We start from the raw sequence: 19,078 nt of genomic DNA on the forward strand, positions 1-19,078 counted from the left end.
CTTCTTTGGGAAGCATCACCTGACCTATTTATGGAGATTTGATCACCGTTGACTTTGTGGCATTCCTTTACCTAATCTGTACTGTGAAGGATTTAGGTCAGAGGTTGTATGATGGCCAGGGACCCAGAACCACCACACATCTTCTCTACTAAATCAGTCAGGACTCTGTTGCTTGTGACAGAAATCCAATTAAGTCTACCCTAGACAAAAAGGAAATGTTTTTGGCCTCAGGGAGGGCATGGGTACAGCTGGGAAAGACTGGATGAGTGACAGTTATATTTTCTGGAACATTCTCACCGATTTTTCTATTGCTTTGAATGTCAAATTCTTTCTTTCTTGTGAAAGACTGACTCTCTCTGGTGGGAGATGGGGTCCTGGCTGCTTTATGCTCATCTCTTACCAACTTCACTACAGGAAAGGTAAAGGCTCTTTACAACCAGAATTCAGTTTAACAAGGACTGACACTGGCAAAAGATGAGCATATGCTCAAAGCAGGGCCAATCATTACTGTTGCTCTGATTGGCTTATCTTGGGCCACTTGCCCACCCTATAGAGTGTGATTGACAATCTCACTCAAACTGCATGATTAAAGTCAGAATAGAGTTTTTCAAAAGGAAAGTGCTCTTACCAAAAGAAAAAGTTTTTCTTTTCACTGGGTAAAGAATAGTGGATGTCTAGTCTTCTGCTCCCCAAAGAGACATTTATAAAAAATGAAGTCAGAACTCAAAGTGTCTCTTTATTACTTGACAGATCAGTGTCTTAGTCCATTTTGTATTGCCATAAAAGAATACTATGGATTAGGTAACTAGGAAAAGAAACTCATTTCTTATAGTTCTAGAGGCTGGGAAGTCCAAGATTGAGGGTTTGCATTTGATGAGGGTCTCCTTGTTACATACCATGCCAGAAGGCATCACATGGAAAGAGAGGAAGAGAAGAGGGCAGAACTCATCATTTTATCAGAAACTCACTCTGATAATGGAATTAGTTTATTCATGAGGGAAAAGCCCTGAGGACCTAGTCACCTCTGTTTATACCCCACCTCCCAACACTGTTGCATTGGTGATTAAGTTTCCAACACATGAACTTTGAGGGATATATTCAAACCACAGCAGTCAGTGACATGTAACCTTCAATACAGAGCTCTGAATTAAACACAAGGCTGGGGTTTGAGGTTTTGGCACAGATTGCTACCTACCCTCCACACTCAAAGGCCATGGATTAGAAACCAAGATACTTAGCTAAAGAGAGCTGAGCTTCAAACTGCAAGCAGGAAGGAATTTGATGAAGACACTCAAATAATAAAGATCATGAAAAACTTCCTAGAGCTCTCATTCCAGTTGACAGAATGAGTGCGCTGAATCAGGACCCTCTTATAGGCCTAGTCCTTCATCAACTAGTAAATGAGACCCAACCAACATCTCAGCAATATCTTTAGATGCAACAGGTCTTCCTTGTGTGTTGAGTAGAAATTAAGATGGAGAGGGTTGGTTGGTGGGAGTGGTGGAAGTGTTTCCTCATCAACATTTACTTGCTTTGTGTTTTATCAGAACTGTGAGCTCAGGTTTATTGTCCTCACTCAAGGCTATAGTCAACCAGGAATGAGACCTGCTCCTTCACTTGGGCAAGTTCCTCCCTTCAAGGTAAACACTTAAGGCTGCTTCCTAGTACCACTGACTTTTATAAATTCCTGAGCCCAGAGAAATGGGCAGTTCTTCTGTTGGCTCTAGTCTAGAAGCTTCTGAAATGGATAAACCAACACATTTGGCCCAAGCTCATAGTCAGATATTGACCCCTCAATTTTATTTCTTAACTCAAATTGTTGCCTGCCATGGATAAACCTGGTTCACTAGAACAGTGGGTACCTAAAGTAGCACACATAGAATACTCAGTGTGAAAAATGTCCCAAACAAACCATATGAATCTTCTCCCTTTATTAAATTCTCTCAGATATTTAAGCTCCAGTAATGAACCCTTTATTTGTTGCCATGGAGAAAATAAAATCTCCCTTCCCTTGGGGAAATTAAAATCCTAGATAAATTAAAGGCCAAAAGTCACTGTAATTTTCTTATTTTGCTCAACCTAAGCTAGGGACAGTCTCACTGTGTTGAGTCTGCTTACTCCCCTAGCCCTAGCCCCACTCCTCATCTTTCTCAGATCATTTCCTGCACCTCTCTGCCCAGGAAGCTGGTGCCTGCGAAGTGCATCCTGGAACCCCCTTCCTAGCTGGCTTTTCTCTCAACAGGTTCAGCCAGTAAGAGACACTGATAGGAGATTGACAGGTGGGAAAAGAAGATGAACTATTTCTTCCAGCTTCCTTCCTGCTTTGGGCCACATTTCTGGCAGTGGCTCTGAACTTGAATAAGCATAGATCTGTTCAGCAGCCCCTATTCCTCAGTTCTAGCTCTGATGAGCTAAGATAACCCTATTTCCTCTTATGATTCAAGGGATTACCAGGTTCCTACAGATGCTAGCCTTGGGTGCCTCAACAACCTGGTTGATTCTCTTAATCCTGCCCACACCTCTGAAAATCCTTCCATTAAGTCCTCTTCCTTTGAACCATATGAGTTGCATTCTCTTTCCTGCCATGAGCTTGACTTAATACTCCCTATGTACCTGGCACCAGGAAGCCTTGGAAGAGGGGGCCCTTCTCCAATGGCAGCATCCTGGGATGTCTTCCACTGGAGGGGATGGAATTATTTTAGCACTTTCACTGTTAAATTCCAACCTTGAGTCTCATCTGTTCCACTTTTCCTAAGGGTAGTCTTCCAAATAAATGGTAGATAGAACCTATGGATGTCATAGCACCAGTTCTAGACCTATACCATCTAGGTACAACCATAGCATTTCCTAAACAAGCATAATGTTTCCAGAACACAGCATATATTGCTGTCTCTAGCCTCACATTGCTGTTGCCAGCTACAGACACTAACACAGATGCAGGGCTCTCTGGGCGAATTGAAGTAGACAAAGCAAAAGAAGAGAAAGTCTGGATCTGGGCTTCACTTTTATAGGATGCCAGTTGTGGTCTTTAATAATGCTGTTCACCAATATTCACCTTCTTCACTCCAGGCACATATTAAAAAAAAACACCTATTTCCTGGTTCCTGGTTGGTTTGGCTCATATAACTCATGAAGTCCAAAATGATGAGCAGAAATGACCGGAAAAAATGTCTATTTGGGATAGAGGATTTAGTTTTTGGTGGGAGGCTCTCCAGAGTGTTCTTTATGGGCATTATGACCTGGCAAGTTCAGGTGGATGCTTCACCAGCCTGAGTGGTAATGAGCAGAACACTCAGGCCAACCCCTTATGGACATGAAGCATGAGAAAGAAATAAACCTTTGAGCCACCAAAATTTGGGGGTTGTGTTACTACAGTACAATCTAGCCTATCCTGATATAAAATATTTTTTAACATAGCAGAAGTCCAGTAACCTCATTGACCTTTACCATTTGCTTCTCTTAAGCCTTTCAGAAGCCCAACTTGAATAACTATAGAAGCCAACTGTGATTCTGTGAAATATATTTTTAGCTCTTTTTCTCAGTTTCCAGACATATACATACACATCTATGGCTTCTAAAATCCTTGGAACCTCCAGAGTTTCTGGAGCGTCTTTGGTATACTAATGAGATGATCGATGGCTGAGTCACTTAAGTAGCTTCAAGGTTGGGAGCTGGTCACTGGAAAGACCATGACAGGATTAGAGGGTTGGAACTTTTAGTTCCATCCCCAGCCTCCTGAGAGGGAAATGTGGCTGAAGGTTGAGTTGATCACCAATGGACAATGATGTAATAAATAGTGCCTGTGTGAAGAAGCCTCCATAACAACCCAGGACTAAGATCAGGGAGCTTCTGGATAGCTAAACTCAACACATGAGGGTGCCTGGAAGATGTTGCCCAGAGAGGGCATGGAAGCTTCTTCCCACATGCCTTACCTTGTGTGTCTCTTCCATCTGACTGTTCACCTGTACCCTGTGTAATATCCTTTATAATAAATGGGCAAATGTGTTTCCCTGAGTTCTATGAGCCACTCTAGAAAATTAGTCAAGTCCAAGGAGGGGCTTATGAGAACTCCTGCTACAGGGTCAAAGTGTAGGCAGCAACTACTACTTGCAGCTGATACCTGAAGTGGGGGGCAGTCTTGTGGGACTGAGCCCTCAGCCTGTGGTGTCTGATGCTATCTCCAGGTAAATAGCATCAGAATTGAATTAAAGGACTCCCAGCCTGTGTCTGCTGGATAATTGACTAGTTTTGTGTGAGGAGAAATCCCCACACATTGTAGTGGCCAGAGGTGAAGTATTCTGTGTTGATTGTTGAGTAAAGGAATAGGAAAAACACCTTTGACTTTTTCTGGTATCTTAGACTGCCCCTAGTTCATGCTTTAGAAACCCAGTGAAATACATCAGAACCTCAGCTCCACATGCTGCAAAATCTCATCTTACTTTAGCCTTTGGATTCCCTAGGCCTTGGTTGATTTTACTACTCCAAAGGAAGCATAAAAATCCCTTTCCTCTGCTGTGTTGCTTGCAACATCAGAACTATAGTCCCCCTGGAGAAGCAAAAAATTCCTGAGCAGCATTTGAGAATATATATTTTTTTGAGAGGAGGGAGGAGGAGTTGTGGTAGCAAAAAGCCATTACGCCCACCAAAGATTAAAGGAGTTCTTTTGAATTACACTTGCTCTGGCCCAGATGAGAGCCCTGCCCTTCTCTATCTGGAAAGAGGTTAGCATGCAAGGCCTCATGGTAGGTGTAGCCACTTCCAGTTTAATGTCCCAGAGTGAGACTCCCCTGACCCTAAAAATTCCAATGCAGGCCAAGATCTAAACTCAATTTATGATCCTAGGCCAGCTATACATCAGAGACCTCAACTTTCCAATATAGTGCTTAACTCCCAAATTCTACACATGTACTCACTTGATCTGCCATGATTATAGTTAATAGCATTCGGTGATATTTCCATGGGATCCAAGAATGTCAGTCATCCCTTCAGTTCACAATGATCCTTGGAGGAGGATAAGGAACAGGAACTGAATGAAAAGCAATTACTGCTGATTGTTAAGTGGAATAGGACCTCCCTGCTCTGGTATTACTCTTTGCAAAAGCTGGGTAAGAGGTATCAGAGGACATGACAGCCAGCTTTCAAAATGGTCCTCAATGATCCCCACCTTACTGGTATTCAGGCTCTTGTGTAGCCCCCTCTTGCTTTGTACCAGGGGTTGGTTCTGCAACCCCAATATGCAGCAGAAGTGATGGCATTCCACTTATGAAATTAGGTTATAAAAGACGCTGCAGCTTCAGTTTTGGGTTCTCTCTCCCTCTTGGGTCATTGGCCTGACAACAACCATGTGAGTGAGCTTGGAACAGATCCTCCAGGCCTGGATGCTTGAGGTCTGGTCCCAGTCAACAGCATGACTGTAGCCTCCAGAGCCAGGACCAAACTAAGCTATTCCTGAAGTTCTGATCCTTAGAAACTAAAAAAAACAAAACTTTAAATGGACACAATTATACATATTTATGGGGTACATAGTGATGTTTGTTGTTTTAACCTGTTAAATGTTGAAGGATTTTCTTCATAGTAATAGATAACTAATAAAAGGCCAATGGCTCTTTGAATCCTGGGACCTTCCCAAGCTTCTGATAGCTTTATTGTACTGGAGCTTGAAGCAACATTCAGCCTCTTGGCTATGCTTTTGGGATTGGGAAGTATGGGCTTGGGGACTAGTAAGCATGGCCCGCTGAACTTTTTTTAGGTGCAGGGGGTCAAGAGAATAGGAAGAAAATGGGCATGTAAACAGATCTATGATAGGGGAAGGGGGTTTGAGATTTGCGTTTTTATATATACCTATACTAATACTGATCTTTTCTGTATTGTTTTTGTTGTTGCTTGAGCTGGGCCTTGCCCATTGTACAGACAATGCCTCACCTCTGTCTCTCCCAAATGTACCTATGTACATGCATAGATACAGGATGGGAATTTTTGCTTTGTAATTTGGGGGAGCAATTTTGGTTGGGTTGGAAAGAAAGTAACAAAGGTAGTCTGAGATCTTCTTCAGGAAGAAAGTGTAACAAAGGCAGTCTGAGGTCTAAGTCCTGTCCAGCCTCAACAGAGAGAGAGAGAGGTCAGACCTGCTCTTCAGGAGACACTGATACACAGAGCAAGGCTCTTGAGCCTCTGGGCCCAGGAGAACTGTTCTGGAGTTGGAGAGGAGGATTTTCTTCTTCCCCTTCCTGCTAGCATCCAGGAACTTGGGTATCTCTAGGATGGAAAACCTAGTATACATGCCCTGGGTGCATACTTCAGGAGGTGGCATGCCCTACCACCGCCCGCCCGCCCCACCATAAGTCCCCAGAAGCAAAGCAGCTGAGACCCACCCCAAGTTAAACCCCCCTCTTGAAGTACCTGGAGTGCTTTTTTTTCCTGACTGGACCTTTGTTGACACAGACCCTATTGCCTAGGAAATCAGCGGAGGAGGAAAATGAAGCTAATAAACATGAGACTCTAGAATAAAGTAGCATAGAACTGAAATAACTTTTACATCTTACCAGGAGCACATACCAGTCATATAGTTCTGGGCTTCCAGCCACCTGTCCTGAGTCTCCAACCTGGTCCGCTCCAAGTCATAGGCATATGTCTGAAAGGTCAGCCCTCTCATTGCATGGCAGAGTATAGGAGCCAGAATTTGGAGATGGTTTCAGAAAAGCAGAACCTTAGGCAGAAAGTGCTGCACACTTGCAAGAATGCCTTGCCCTGCCTGCTTCAGTATTTCTACAAGCAATGTCCCAGGTGAGGGTTTCCTTTAAGGTAGGCCAATCCTATGTTATGGAAAGAATACAGACTCACCTTGAGTATTTAATTTTTTTTTCTGGGAGGTTTGAAGCATAAAGAAAAATAAGAATTTATAATACATGAAGCAAACAATTCTTGGCACCAGGAAAAATCAAACTAAGCAATGGTTGGTTTCAGCGCAACTCAATCACCTTTACATTTTGGCGAACAGCTCCTATAGGAAGCCTGTAATTTTCTTTTTAAAAGGTGTTTTTTCTTTCCATGTTAATTTTCTAAAATCTGAAGTTGAAAACGAGATACCAATACTAAAACCCATTTATGGTTCCTTGGTATATTTGATTGGATGATACTGATTTTGTTGGGTTTCTAATGTGGCCATATTGCACATGGGGAGAATCATGTCTGTGCTGCCTGTAGGGAGGAGTTGGTCTCACCCATCCCTGGGAGTGGGATCATCTTCATTTGCAGGTAAGATGTGATGCACTGAAGTGAAGGGAAATAACTGAGGTTATTTCACTGTAACAATTTTCTATAAGCAAGATCTCCTGGAAGCAAACAAAAAGTTATTGAGAGTTACCTTATGACATTCCATTGCATATGAGCTTCTCAAAAAAAAAAAAAAAATGAACCAGAGTTTTTAAATTTCCATGTGGGGAAAAATATACATAGCTATGGTAATAAACATACAAACCCCAAAATGTATGCATTATAGTCAGTAATTTTTTAAAAAATATTTTAACTTTTATTTTAGGTTCATGGGTACATGTGCATGTTATATAGGTAAACTTGTGACTTTGGGATTTTGGGTACAGATTATTCCATCACCTGGATGCTAAGCATAGTATATGAGTTGTTTTTTCTTAACCTCTCTCCTCCTACCCTCCCCTTTCTGATAGGCCTAGTATCTGTTTTTCCCCTGTATGTGTCCATGTTATGAGTTAGCTCTCACTTATAAATGAGAAGATGAGGTATTTGGTTTTCTGTTCCTGTGTCAGCTTGCTAAGGATAAAGGCCTCCAGCTCCATCCATGTTCCTGCAAAGGACACGATCTCCTCCTTTTATGGCTACATAGTATTCTGTGGTGTAAATGTACCCCATTTTATTTATCTAGCCTATGACTGATGGGCATTTAGGTTGATTCCATGTCTTTGCTACAGTGAATTTTACTGCAATGAACATACATGTATATGTGCCTTTATGGTAGAACAATTTATATTCCTTTGGGTATACACCCAGTAATGGGATTGCTGCTCAAGTGGTAGTTCTGTCCTCAGTTCTTCGAGGAACTACCACACCACTTCCCACAATGGTTGAACTTATTTACACTCCCACCAGCAGTGTATAAGCAGTCCCTTTTCTCTGCAACCTCTCCAGCATCTGTTATTTTTTGACTTTTTAATAATAGCCATGCTGAAGGCTGGGTGCAGTGGCTCACACCTGTAACCCCAGCACTTTGAGAGGCCTAGGCAGGTGGATCACCTGAGGTCAGGAGTTCAAGACCAGCCTGGCCAACATGGTGAAACCCCGTCTCTACTAAAAATACAAAAATTAGCTGGGCATGGTGGCACATGCCTGTAATCCCAACCACTTGGGAGGCTGAGGCAGGAGAATTGCCTGAATCCAGGAGGTGGAGGCTGCAGTGAGCTGAGATCGTGCCACTGCACTCCAGCCTGGGTGACAGAGACCCTGTCTCAAAAAAAAAAAAAAGCCATTTTGACTGGTGTGAGATGGTATCTCATTGTGGTTTTGATTTGCATTTCTCTAATGATCAGTGATACGGAGTTTTTCATATGCCTGTTGGCCTCATGTATGTCTTTTGAGAAGTGTTCTTTCCTTTGCCCACTTATTAATGAGATTGTTTGCTTTTTGCTTGTATGTTTAAGTTCCTTCTAGATTCTGGATATTAGATCTTTGTCAGATGCACACTTTGCAAATATTTTCTCCCATTCAGTAGGTTGCCTGTTTACTCTGTTGATAGTTTCTTTTGCTTTGCAGAGGTTCTTTAATTAGGACCCACTTCTCAATTTTTGCTTTTGTTGTAATTGCTTTGGCATTTTGTCATGAAATCTTTGCCCATTCCTATGTCCAAAGTGGTATTTCCTAGGTTATCTCACAGAGTTTTTATAGTTTTATGTTTCACATTTAGGTCTGTAATCCATCTTGAGTCGATTTTTATATATGGAGTTGATTTTTATATATGGTGTAGGGAAGGAGGTTCAATTTTCTGCATGTGGCTAGCCAATTATCCCAGCATCATTTATTGAATAGGAAGTCCTTTCACCATTGCTTGTTTTTGTCAGTTTTGTCAAAGATCAGATGGTTGTAGGTGTGTGGCCTTATTTCTGGGCTCTATATTCCATTCCGTTGGTCTATGTGTCCATTTTTATACCAGTACCATGCTGTTTTGGTTACTGTAGCCCTTTGGCATAGTTTGAAGTCAGATAGCATGATGCTTTCAGCCTTGTCCTTTTTGCTTAGGACTGCCTTGACTATTCAGGCTCTTTTTGGTTCCATATGAATTTTAGAATAGTTTTTTCTAGTTCTGTCAAGAATGTCATTGGTAGATTGATAATAGTATCAAATCTTTAAATTGCTTTGGCAGTATGGCCATTTTAACAATATGGATTCTTACTGTCCCTGAGCATGAAATGTTCTTCCATTTGTGTCATCTGATTTCTTTGAACAGTGTTTTGTGGTTCTCCATTGTAGAGATCTTTCACCTCCCTGGCTAGCTGTATTCCTAGGTATTTTATTCTCCTTGTAGCAATCGTGAACAGGATTTCATTCCTGATTTGGCTCTTGGCTTGGGTGCTATTAGGGTAACTGAATGCTACTGATTTCTGTACATTGATATTATATCCCAAAACTTTAAAGTTGCTTATGTGCTCAAGGAGTTTTTGGGCTGAAACTGTGGGGTTTTCTAGATGCAGAATATCATCTGCATATGGGGATAGTTTGACGTCCTCTCTTCCTATTATATTTGGATGCCTTTTATCTTGCCTGATTGCCCTGGCCAGGGCTTCCAATAGTTTATATACTTGCAGATGTTGAGATAAATGTCAAAATACTTCAGCCTTGTACTATGTATGTATATGCAAAATTTTGTGTGTGTTTATTTTGCTCATTATTAAAAGCCTGTGGCTTTATTATTATATGGTTTGGAGGACTTAACTCTTATTTGTGGATTTTATATATGTCTTTTCAAATTTTTGCCAAAAGTTCTGCTGTTATTGTTTAAGGAGATTAGTCAGGACATTGAAATATTAAAATGTTTTCAGAAATTAAGAGAAACATGTACAAGAATAAAGTCATAAAAATACTCTATTTTTTGAGACAGTCTTGCTCTGTCACCCAGGCTGGATTGCAGTGGTGCTATCTTGGCTCACTGCAACCTCCACCTCCTGCGTTCAAGCAATTCTTCTGCCTCAGCCTCCCAAGTAGCTGGGATTACAGGCATGCACAGCCACGCCTGGCTAATAAGCCACCATGCCCGGCCTAAAAATACTTTTTAAATCATGCAGTGGAGATGCTTGGAATATTAGGGTAACATAAATCTGCTTTTCCATTTGACAATGACTTAAACACTGAATATTGGCACTAAACTTTTAAGAACAATTATATTGAATAAAAAAAGAAATATCAATTTAATTAGCTGTTTGTCCCACTTCATTTTTACCTTTTAGGACTCAGCTTCCTCACCTGTAAATTGAAAATCTTATCTAAGATTTCTAAGGCCAGAAGGAAACAAGGGTCTGTTTTTAAAAATTCTTTGATGTCTGAGAAAACCCAGGTTCTCAAAATCAATCACGTAACAGCTTTATCTTTACTAGCTATAGGTCACTAGTTCTCAAAGTTGGCTGAACACTGAAATCGCCTGGGGAGTCTTAAGCCAGAATCCAGGAGTGAGAGCTGGACTTTAGCCAGAAAGTTTAATTGGCTTTGGGTGTGGCCCTTACATTGGGAGTTTCAGGAGTGCTCCAAGTGATTCAAATGTGTAGCAAAATTTGAGAACCACAAGCCTAGGTCATGTATTAAAATCATCTAGGTTGCTTCTTAAAGGTGCAGCTGCTTTCTCCCTCTCAAACTTCCTGCCACTGTGTTCTCACCTTACTGCTCCAGCCTCTGGGGCACATTCCAGTCTTCCAACCTGCGACCAGCAGAGAAAAGAATTACATGTTTTCTTGCCCCATAGATACTTTGAGGTGAACAAAAAAATTAAATTTTAACCATGAGGGAAATTGTGCATATCCAGGCCAGTCACTGTGGCAACCAGATCAGTGTCAAATTCTTGGAAGTGATCCATGATGAACATGGCATTGACCCCACCATCACCTACCATGGTGACAGTGACCTGCAGCTGGACTGCATCTCCATGTACTACGACGAAGCCACAGGTGGCAAACATGTTCTTCATACCATCCTGGTAGATCTAGAACCTGGGACCATGGACTCTGTTTGCTGAGGTCCTTTTGGCCAGATCTTTAGATGAGACAACTTTGTTTCTGGTCAGTCTGGGGCTGGCAACAACTGGGCCAAAGGCCACTACACAGAAGGGGCTGAGCTGGTTGATTCTGTCCTGGATGTGGTATTGTAGCGGGAAATCAGAACTGGAGAGACCAATAGGGTTACAGGAGGATTTATTAAGGTGTACAATGGCTCAGGGGACTCACATCCAGAAAGTCTGAGCCCCGAACAAAGACAGACAACCCTTTTAAGTGTTTGAGGCGAGAAAAATGTGAAGCAGGAAGCAGGCTTACAGAAGCAAGAACAAAAGTAATTAATCATCATGTGACAGGTCTTACATCTTAGAAAAGGAAAACATGTTTTGCAGCTCACGCTTATCTGCCTTGTGACCTTGCAGCTGCTCAGCAAGAAAAACAAGAACTTACAGAACTTACAAAATAAGCAGAACAGAGATATGGTTAATGTTTCAGAGAGAGGCAGTTAATACTCTTTAACTTCAACTTTGGTTGGTAGGTGGGGGGTGGCGCTGGTTACCAAAAACCTATTTCAGCCTAACTTTAAACAGCAATTTTAGGTAACCATAATGATTTTCTCTATTTCATTCCCCTCTTTGGTGCCTTTTATAAATGGATTTTAATAGAAGGCACCACTATCATTTGTTTCTTCCTTAGTTGGCACATATTTTTCCTTGGGTAGAGGCTGATATTTAGTTAAGGCCATTATTTGGGTGGTAGTATGTCTGGCCACAATTGCTTCTATAGTTGACTGTATACTCCTGATTAGAAGAGGTAGAAGACAAGGGAGAATTAGGCGTCTGCCAAGGATAAGCATAAACCCTCCTATTAAGGTTTTAAATCCATCAAAAGATGAAAACCATCCTCTGAAAAGGGAGTCTGGAGACAAACCTTTCCAGGTTTGGACTGAAACATGAGCTAATTTCTGCATCCTAGCAGTTATTTCCATGACAGCTTGTCCATTATCATCAATTTCTAGACAGCAATTTAAGTTAAACTTCCCACATACTCTTCCTTCTGAGGCCAGGAGGTAGTTTAGTGCTAAACTATTTTCATAAAGGGCATTTCTCATCTGTGTGGCTTGCATGGCCAGCAAATTCAAGGCCCTTGATGTTTCACTGGTTATAACCTCAAGAACAGCCTGTAACCATATGATAAAATTTATCACATAAATGGGGGTACAGTAGCCCCATGTTTCATCCTCTGCCCAGGTGGCTGGGCCATAGTACTTAATTCTCTCAGGAGGCCATTCATTTCTTCAGTCTCCTATATCTATATCCTTTTTTATGTGTGTGTCCTTTTTTGTGGTTATGCTTTCCTTAGCTTTTTAAAAAATATATAGCTCTATGGGCATGTAATGTGGCAAAGGCATAGAGTCAGTATAAATATTGACCACTTTTCCTTTGGCTAAGAGCAGGGCCCTTGTTAGAGCTATCAGTTCTGCTTTTTGAGCTGTCCCGGAAGGTAGAGGCTGTGCCTCTACCACTGAATCCCATGTCAGTACTGTATACCCAGCTCAGCAGACCCCTTCTGAGACAAATCTGCTTCCATCCATGAAGTACTCAACATGTGGGCCACCAAGGGGCTGGTCTTTTAAGTTCCTTCAGCTGGAGAATACCTCATCTACTATGTCCACACAATAATGCTAAGGTAGGGGGTCTTTTGGTCTATGGGCAGCAGAGTAGCTAGGTTTAGTGTATTTACAGTCTCTATAATCATGTGAGGATTTTAGCATAAGGGTCCTTGATATCTAGTCATTCTTGGGTTTGATGATACCTAATGATGTTCTCTCTGATCCATTAAGGTGATAACTGTGTGTAGCACTTGAATAATCAATTTTTGTCCTAGGGCCAATTTGTTAGCCTCTTGTGCCAACAGAGCTGTGGTGGCTAAAGCTTTGAAACAAGGAGGCCAGCCTAGTGCCATCAGGTCTAGTTGTTTAGTTAAGTATGCCACAGGTCGATGCGATGACCGCATAATTTGAGTTAGGACCCCTATAGCCATTCCTTTCCATTCATGGACATACAGAAAGAAGTGCTTGGTTTGATCTGGCAGTCCTAACCCGGGGGACTGAATCAAGGCCTTTTTGATTTTCTTAAAGAGCCTTTTTTGGTCAGCCTCCCAAAGGAGGGGCTCCCCTATTCCCCCATTTGTGGCTTCATATAGGGGTTTTACCATAAGTGAGAAGTTTGGAATCCAAATGCAGCAGAAACCTGCTACTCTTAAAAACTTACTTGACGCTGGGTGGTAGGGGTGGGAAGTACACACAGCCTGCTTTCATTCACTGCCAAGTTCACGTTTCCCGTGACTTATTTCAAAACCTAGATATTTGACTCCTGCTAAACAGATTTGTGCCTTTTTCTTGGATACTTTATATTCTGCTTTCCACAAAAGGTGGAGGAGCTTCTTAGTGACCTGTAGGCAGTCCACTCAAGTAGGGGCTGCAAATAGAAGATTTTCTATGCACTGCAGCAGGATGCATTTGTCATTAGGTGGGACATAAGCTGAGATCTGATGCCAGCACTTCTTCAAAGATCATAGGGGAATTCTTGAACCCCTTGTGGGAGTCTTGTCCAAGTGTGCTGTGTTTCATCCCAATGAAATGCAAAGATAGGCTGGCTTATTGGTGCTAACTGGAGACAAAAGAATGTATTTTTTAGATCTAAGCAAATAAGCCAGGCTGCACTAGCTGGTATTTGTCCCATTAAGTTGTATGGGTTGGGCACTACTGGGTGGATTGTCTCCATGACCCGGTTTATAGCATGCAAATTCTGCACTGGCTTATATTTACCAGATGGCTTCTGCACTGGCAATAAAGGAATGTTCCAAGGTGATCTGCATTTAATTATGATTCCGTGCTTGAAAAGCTGGTCTGTGTGCTTTTGAACACCTCAGATGCCGTCTATGAAAACTGGGTATTGGCGAACTCATACTGGGGAGGCTCCTGATTTTAGCTCTACTAGGACTAGTGCCTGATTTACAGCCAGCCCAGGCGGGTTGTCCTTTGCCCACACTCCAGGTATTTTAACAATTAGCTCATATATTTTAAGAGGTTCTGACAGTCTTGGGCTTAAGTGGTACTTCTGCATATAGCCTCCACTCCTTGGCCTTTGGGAGTGTGAGGGTTAACACCACAGCCTTTGGCTGACTGAAGTTTAAGGACATGTTTCCTTGTGGCCTGAAGGAAATTTGTGCCTGTAGTTTTTGGAGTAAGTCTCTTTCAAGCAAGGGGACTGAGCAGTTTGGGAGGTATAGAATCTCATGCTGACTTCCTATCCTCCAATAATGCACCTCCTTGACAGAAAGGCCTCTTTTTCAAAGATTCCAATTGCCCCAATAATAGTTGTATAATTCTTGGATAGTGGCCCTACAGGTCAGGTCACTACTGAGGGTTCAGCTCCTGTATCTACCATAAAGTCCATCTGTTGGTCCCCTACCTCTACTGAGACCATAGGCTCCTGAGGGCCTGAAGAGATGGAGCCTGGTCTGCCTCAGTCCTCATTGCCTGCAGCCTTTGCTAGGCTGATCAGGTCAGCATCTGGTTTTAGAACACAATGGCTGGCAGCTGGTGGCTCTAGCCAAATTCCCTGGTCATGGCTATTTCCTTTATCTTTCTCTGGACATTCATCCTTCCAGTGTCCTTTTTGCATAGTGCACATTGATCCCTCTCCAGCCTAATCTGGCCTTCAAATCTTGGTCTAGCCTGACCTCTTCCATGACCATGACTGCGTCCCCTCACAATGCCAGTCTCTCTTTCAGCCAGGGCTGCCACCAATAGCTCAGCCTTTTTCTTAAGCCTCTGCCCAGCTTCCTTCTTTTCCTCTTGCTCACAGTTGACATATACCTTGGTAGCCACCTCTATAAGCTCAGTAGCATTTATGCCTGCGAAACCTTCCAATTCTTGAAGCTTTTGCTTAATGTCACCTTGTACCTGGCCAACAAATGAAGTACTCACCATGTGCTGATTTTCAACAGCCTCCGGATCAAATAGAGTATAGAGCCAGTATGTCTCACAGAGCCTCTTGTAGAACTGACTTGGGCTTTCATTAGCCTTTTGTAGGACCTCTAAAATCTTTCCTATTGTCATGGCCTTATTCCCACCGGCTTTCATTCCATTTAAGAGTGCTCTCGGTACCTTTGCAGGTGTTGGAGCTCCCCTGCCTCATTTGGGTCCCAGTTAGGATCTGTCTCTGGGAACCACTCCGGGCATAACGCCAGACATCATTTGTGCCATCTGGCACATTGTTCTCTAACCACTGGAGAGCTGCTTGGGTCACTCTCCAGTGCTCTTCTGTATTAAGCAGTGTCAGAAGTTGCTGCTGGCAGTCTGGCCAGGTGGGGTTATGAGTCAGAAAAATGGACCTCATCAAGTCTATGACAGCCTCAGGCTTCTCTGTATGGGAAGGAGTACGTTGTTTCCAATTTAGGTTGTCTGTCATAGGGAAGGGCTGGTAGATGAAAATCCACGGCCCTCCCCCTACCTGGCCTTGCTCATTATAAGTTTGTGCTCAAGTCTCACAGAGGGGCATTCGTAAGGCTCGGGTGTGGCCAGACTGGAGGTGGCTTGCTATATCGCCTTGCTTTTCCTCTTTAGCTTTCATGGGCAGGGGTTCAGGCTCTCCCCTGTGGGGAGATGCTTGAGACTTGCTTTCCTCTGAGCCTGATTCCTCAAGGGCTATTTGCTCTGTACCCCGTCCTAGCCCTGACAAGGACAAGTGTATTGGAACATAACGGGGAGGAAACTCTTTCCTCTGGGAGGTGCTTGTAGGACTGGCTTTTCCTGGCTCTCCTGTTACTTTTTCTTTTCCTCTGAGGTCCCTGGCATAATTGGCTTTTCTATCACCTTAAGCTCAGCCCAGGCCACCAAGGCTTTACAATAGATTGCCAAACAAGGCTGTAGAGCCATTTGGGGCAAGTCTGGACCACGTTTAACCAGGAGTCAATGTATGTAAATTGATCTGGATACCAAGGCTATCCTCGACCCCACTTACCACCCTAAATACATGGCCAATTGCTTCCCTATCTATTGTTCCTTCAGCTGGCCACCCTGTATTAAAAGAAGGCCATTCTAATTCACAGAGTTCTCAACCTTTTGGGGGTCAGTTTAACTCCATAATCTCCTCCAAAACCTTTCTTAAAATTATTTAACATGCACTCCAATGGAGTGGGTTTCGACAATTTTCCTCCCATTCCTCCCTTTATGATGCACACTCACTCAGCCTTTTGTGCTGGACTGACCAGACCGGTTCCTATTATGGGAGTTTCAGGCGCCACTTAGCTAGGAGAGTACCTTATTCCTGCTATGACTGCTGGAATCATAAGGCAGATCCTATCAACCATATGTGGATCGACCTAGGCCTGGTCAGTCATACACTTGCTTTGGAGCACAATGTCAACACTAAGAGATCTGTGCCTCCCCACATCATGCCCTGCATTGATCCCTCCTGGAACTGTCTCTTTCACATACTTTCACACACCTCCTCACTCCCCAGTACCTGTTCCTTAATTGGGGTGGTGAGCCACTCTCACCACCTTCAGTTTTAGTTTCCTTTCCTAAGCCAACTTAGTGAGCCTCTCTCTCATCCTGTGTCAGTGGGGGTATAAACTTCATCTGAATTGGTGAGCCACCTTCTCTGCCCTCAGCCCCTCTGGGGCCAAACTAGTAGTTACACCCGGGGAGGCAATCAATCTCCCTCCCGTCTTTATGGGAGGGGTCCCGTCTTGAGGCCCCAAACCTAACTGTGGTTCTGAAGAATGCGTGCTGCTCCTGGAATCATCCTGCAGCCCCTTTTCTGGTTCTGTTGCACTGTCAGGGAAGGGCACCGGGATGCGGGAGAGCCAATCTCCTCTCTGGGCTGAAGTTCTCCCATTGGCGCCTAGGGTCTTGGGTCTCCCCCAGCCCGGGCTCCAATCCCACAAGCAAAGGAGAGAAAATCTGCCATCTCTAATCCTGGATGAGCCCCCAGAAAAAGTATTGGGAAATCAGAACTGAAGAGACCAATAGGGTTACAGGAGGATTAAGGTGTACACCAGCTCAGTGGACTCGCATCCAGAAAGTCCGAGCCCTGAACAAAGAGGGACACAGGCCCTTTTAAGCATCTCAAGGGAGGAAAAACGTGAAGCAGAAAGCAGGCTTACAGAAGCGAGAACAAAAGCCATTAATCATGTGACAGGTCTTAAATCTTAGAAAACACGTTTTGCAGCTCGCACTTATCTGTCTTGTGACCTTGCGCTACACAGCAAGAAAAACAGGAACTTACAGAGCTTACAAAATATGCAGAGCAGAGATATGGTTAATGTTTCACAGAGAAGCAGTTAATATTCTTTAACTTCAACTTTGGGGGGTGGGGGTGCAGTTATCAAAAGCCTATTTCAGCTTAAACAGCAATTCTAGGTAATCATAATAATTTTCTTTTCTTTCTCTCAGTATGGAAGGAGACAGAGAACTGTGACTGCCTGCAGGTCTTCTAGGTGACCCACTCACTGGGCAGAGGCACAGGCTCTGGAATGGGCACTCTCATTAGCAAGATCTGAGAAGAGTACCCTGATTGCATTGTGAACATCTTCAGTGTAGTGCCTTCACCCAAAGTGACACCAAGGTCGAGCCCTACAGTGCCACCCTCTCTGTCCATCAGTTGGTAGAGAACACTGATGAGACGTATTCCATTGACAATGAAGCCCTGTATAACATCTGCTCCCACACTCTGAAGCGGACCACACCAACCTACAGGGATATGAACCCCCTCGTCTCAGCAACCATGAACAGTGTCATCACCTGCCTCTGTTTCCCTGGCCAGCTCAATGCCGACCTCCACAAGTTGGCAGTCAACATGGTCCCCTTCCCACATCTCCATTTCTTTATGCCTGGCTCTTCCCCTCTCACCAGCCATGGAAGCCAGCAGTATCAAGCTCACAGTGTCTGAATTCACCCAGCATGTCTTCAATGCCAAGAACATGATGGCTGCCTGTGAACCCCGCCATGGCTTATACTTCACCTTGGCTGCTGTCTTCACTGGTCAGATATCCATGAAGGACGTCAATGACAAAATGTTAAATATGCAAAACAAAAACAGCAGCTACTTTGTGGAATGGATCTCCAACAACGTCAAGAACAGTCTGACATCCCATCTCATGGCCTGAAAATGTCATTCACTGGTATTGTCAACATGGTCATCCAGAAGCTCTTCAAGTACATCGCAGATCAGAGAAAGGGATCAAGTGGGGAAAAGAGACCATCCTTGGTCCCTAAGCCTCCAGAAATGTCTTAATCCCCACCTTTTCTTATCCCGAAAAGGAATTAACATCCCTGACTATGTGTGATGGTGTATACTGCCACAGTGTTTGAATCAATCCCCAGAGGAGAGGGGAACCCTCCTCCATCTTTTCTGCAACATCTCATATCTTCTTTTTGCTGTTGCTTCCCCTACCCCTACACTTGGTTTTGTTCTATCCTACATTTGAGATTTCTATAATGTGTTAAACTTGCTGAAAAGATGACATTGCTCCAATAGCCAAAAATAAATGGGATTTCTTAAAATAAAATAAATAGGTGCGGCTATTCTCTCAGAGACTCAGTTTCAGATTCAATGGGTGTGGAATGGAATCCCCAAATCCACCTTTTAAACAAGTTCCTCCAGCTCTTGGGGCAGGGGATCTCAGAACCACACTTTGAGAAGCATTGTTTGGTTGCCAATCTTTGGGCATTAATTTAAAGCTGGTTTCATTTAACTTGCACTATAAGGAACAGATTCTCTAGATTAGGATCCAGCATTGGGAAACTGGGAGGGTGAAGTGCATAAGGAGCCAAGAGGCCC

General features: G+C 43.3%; 1 pseudogene; it reads left to right on the forward strand.

The window, feature by feature from the left end:
• On the forward strand, window positions 10,863–18,469 carry TUBBP9 (tubulin beta class I pseudogene 9; annotated as a pseudogene).

Source organism: Homo sapiens, chromosome 6 (assembly GCF_000001405.40).
Source record: "Homo sapiens chromosome 6, GRCh38.p14 Primary Assembly".
NCBI classification, from domain to species: domain Eukaryota; kingdom Metazoa; phylum Chordata; class Mammalia; order Primates; family Hominidae; genus Homo; species Homo sapiens.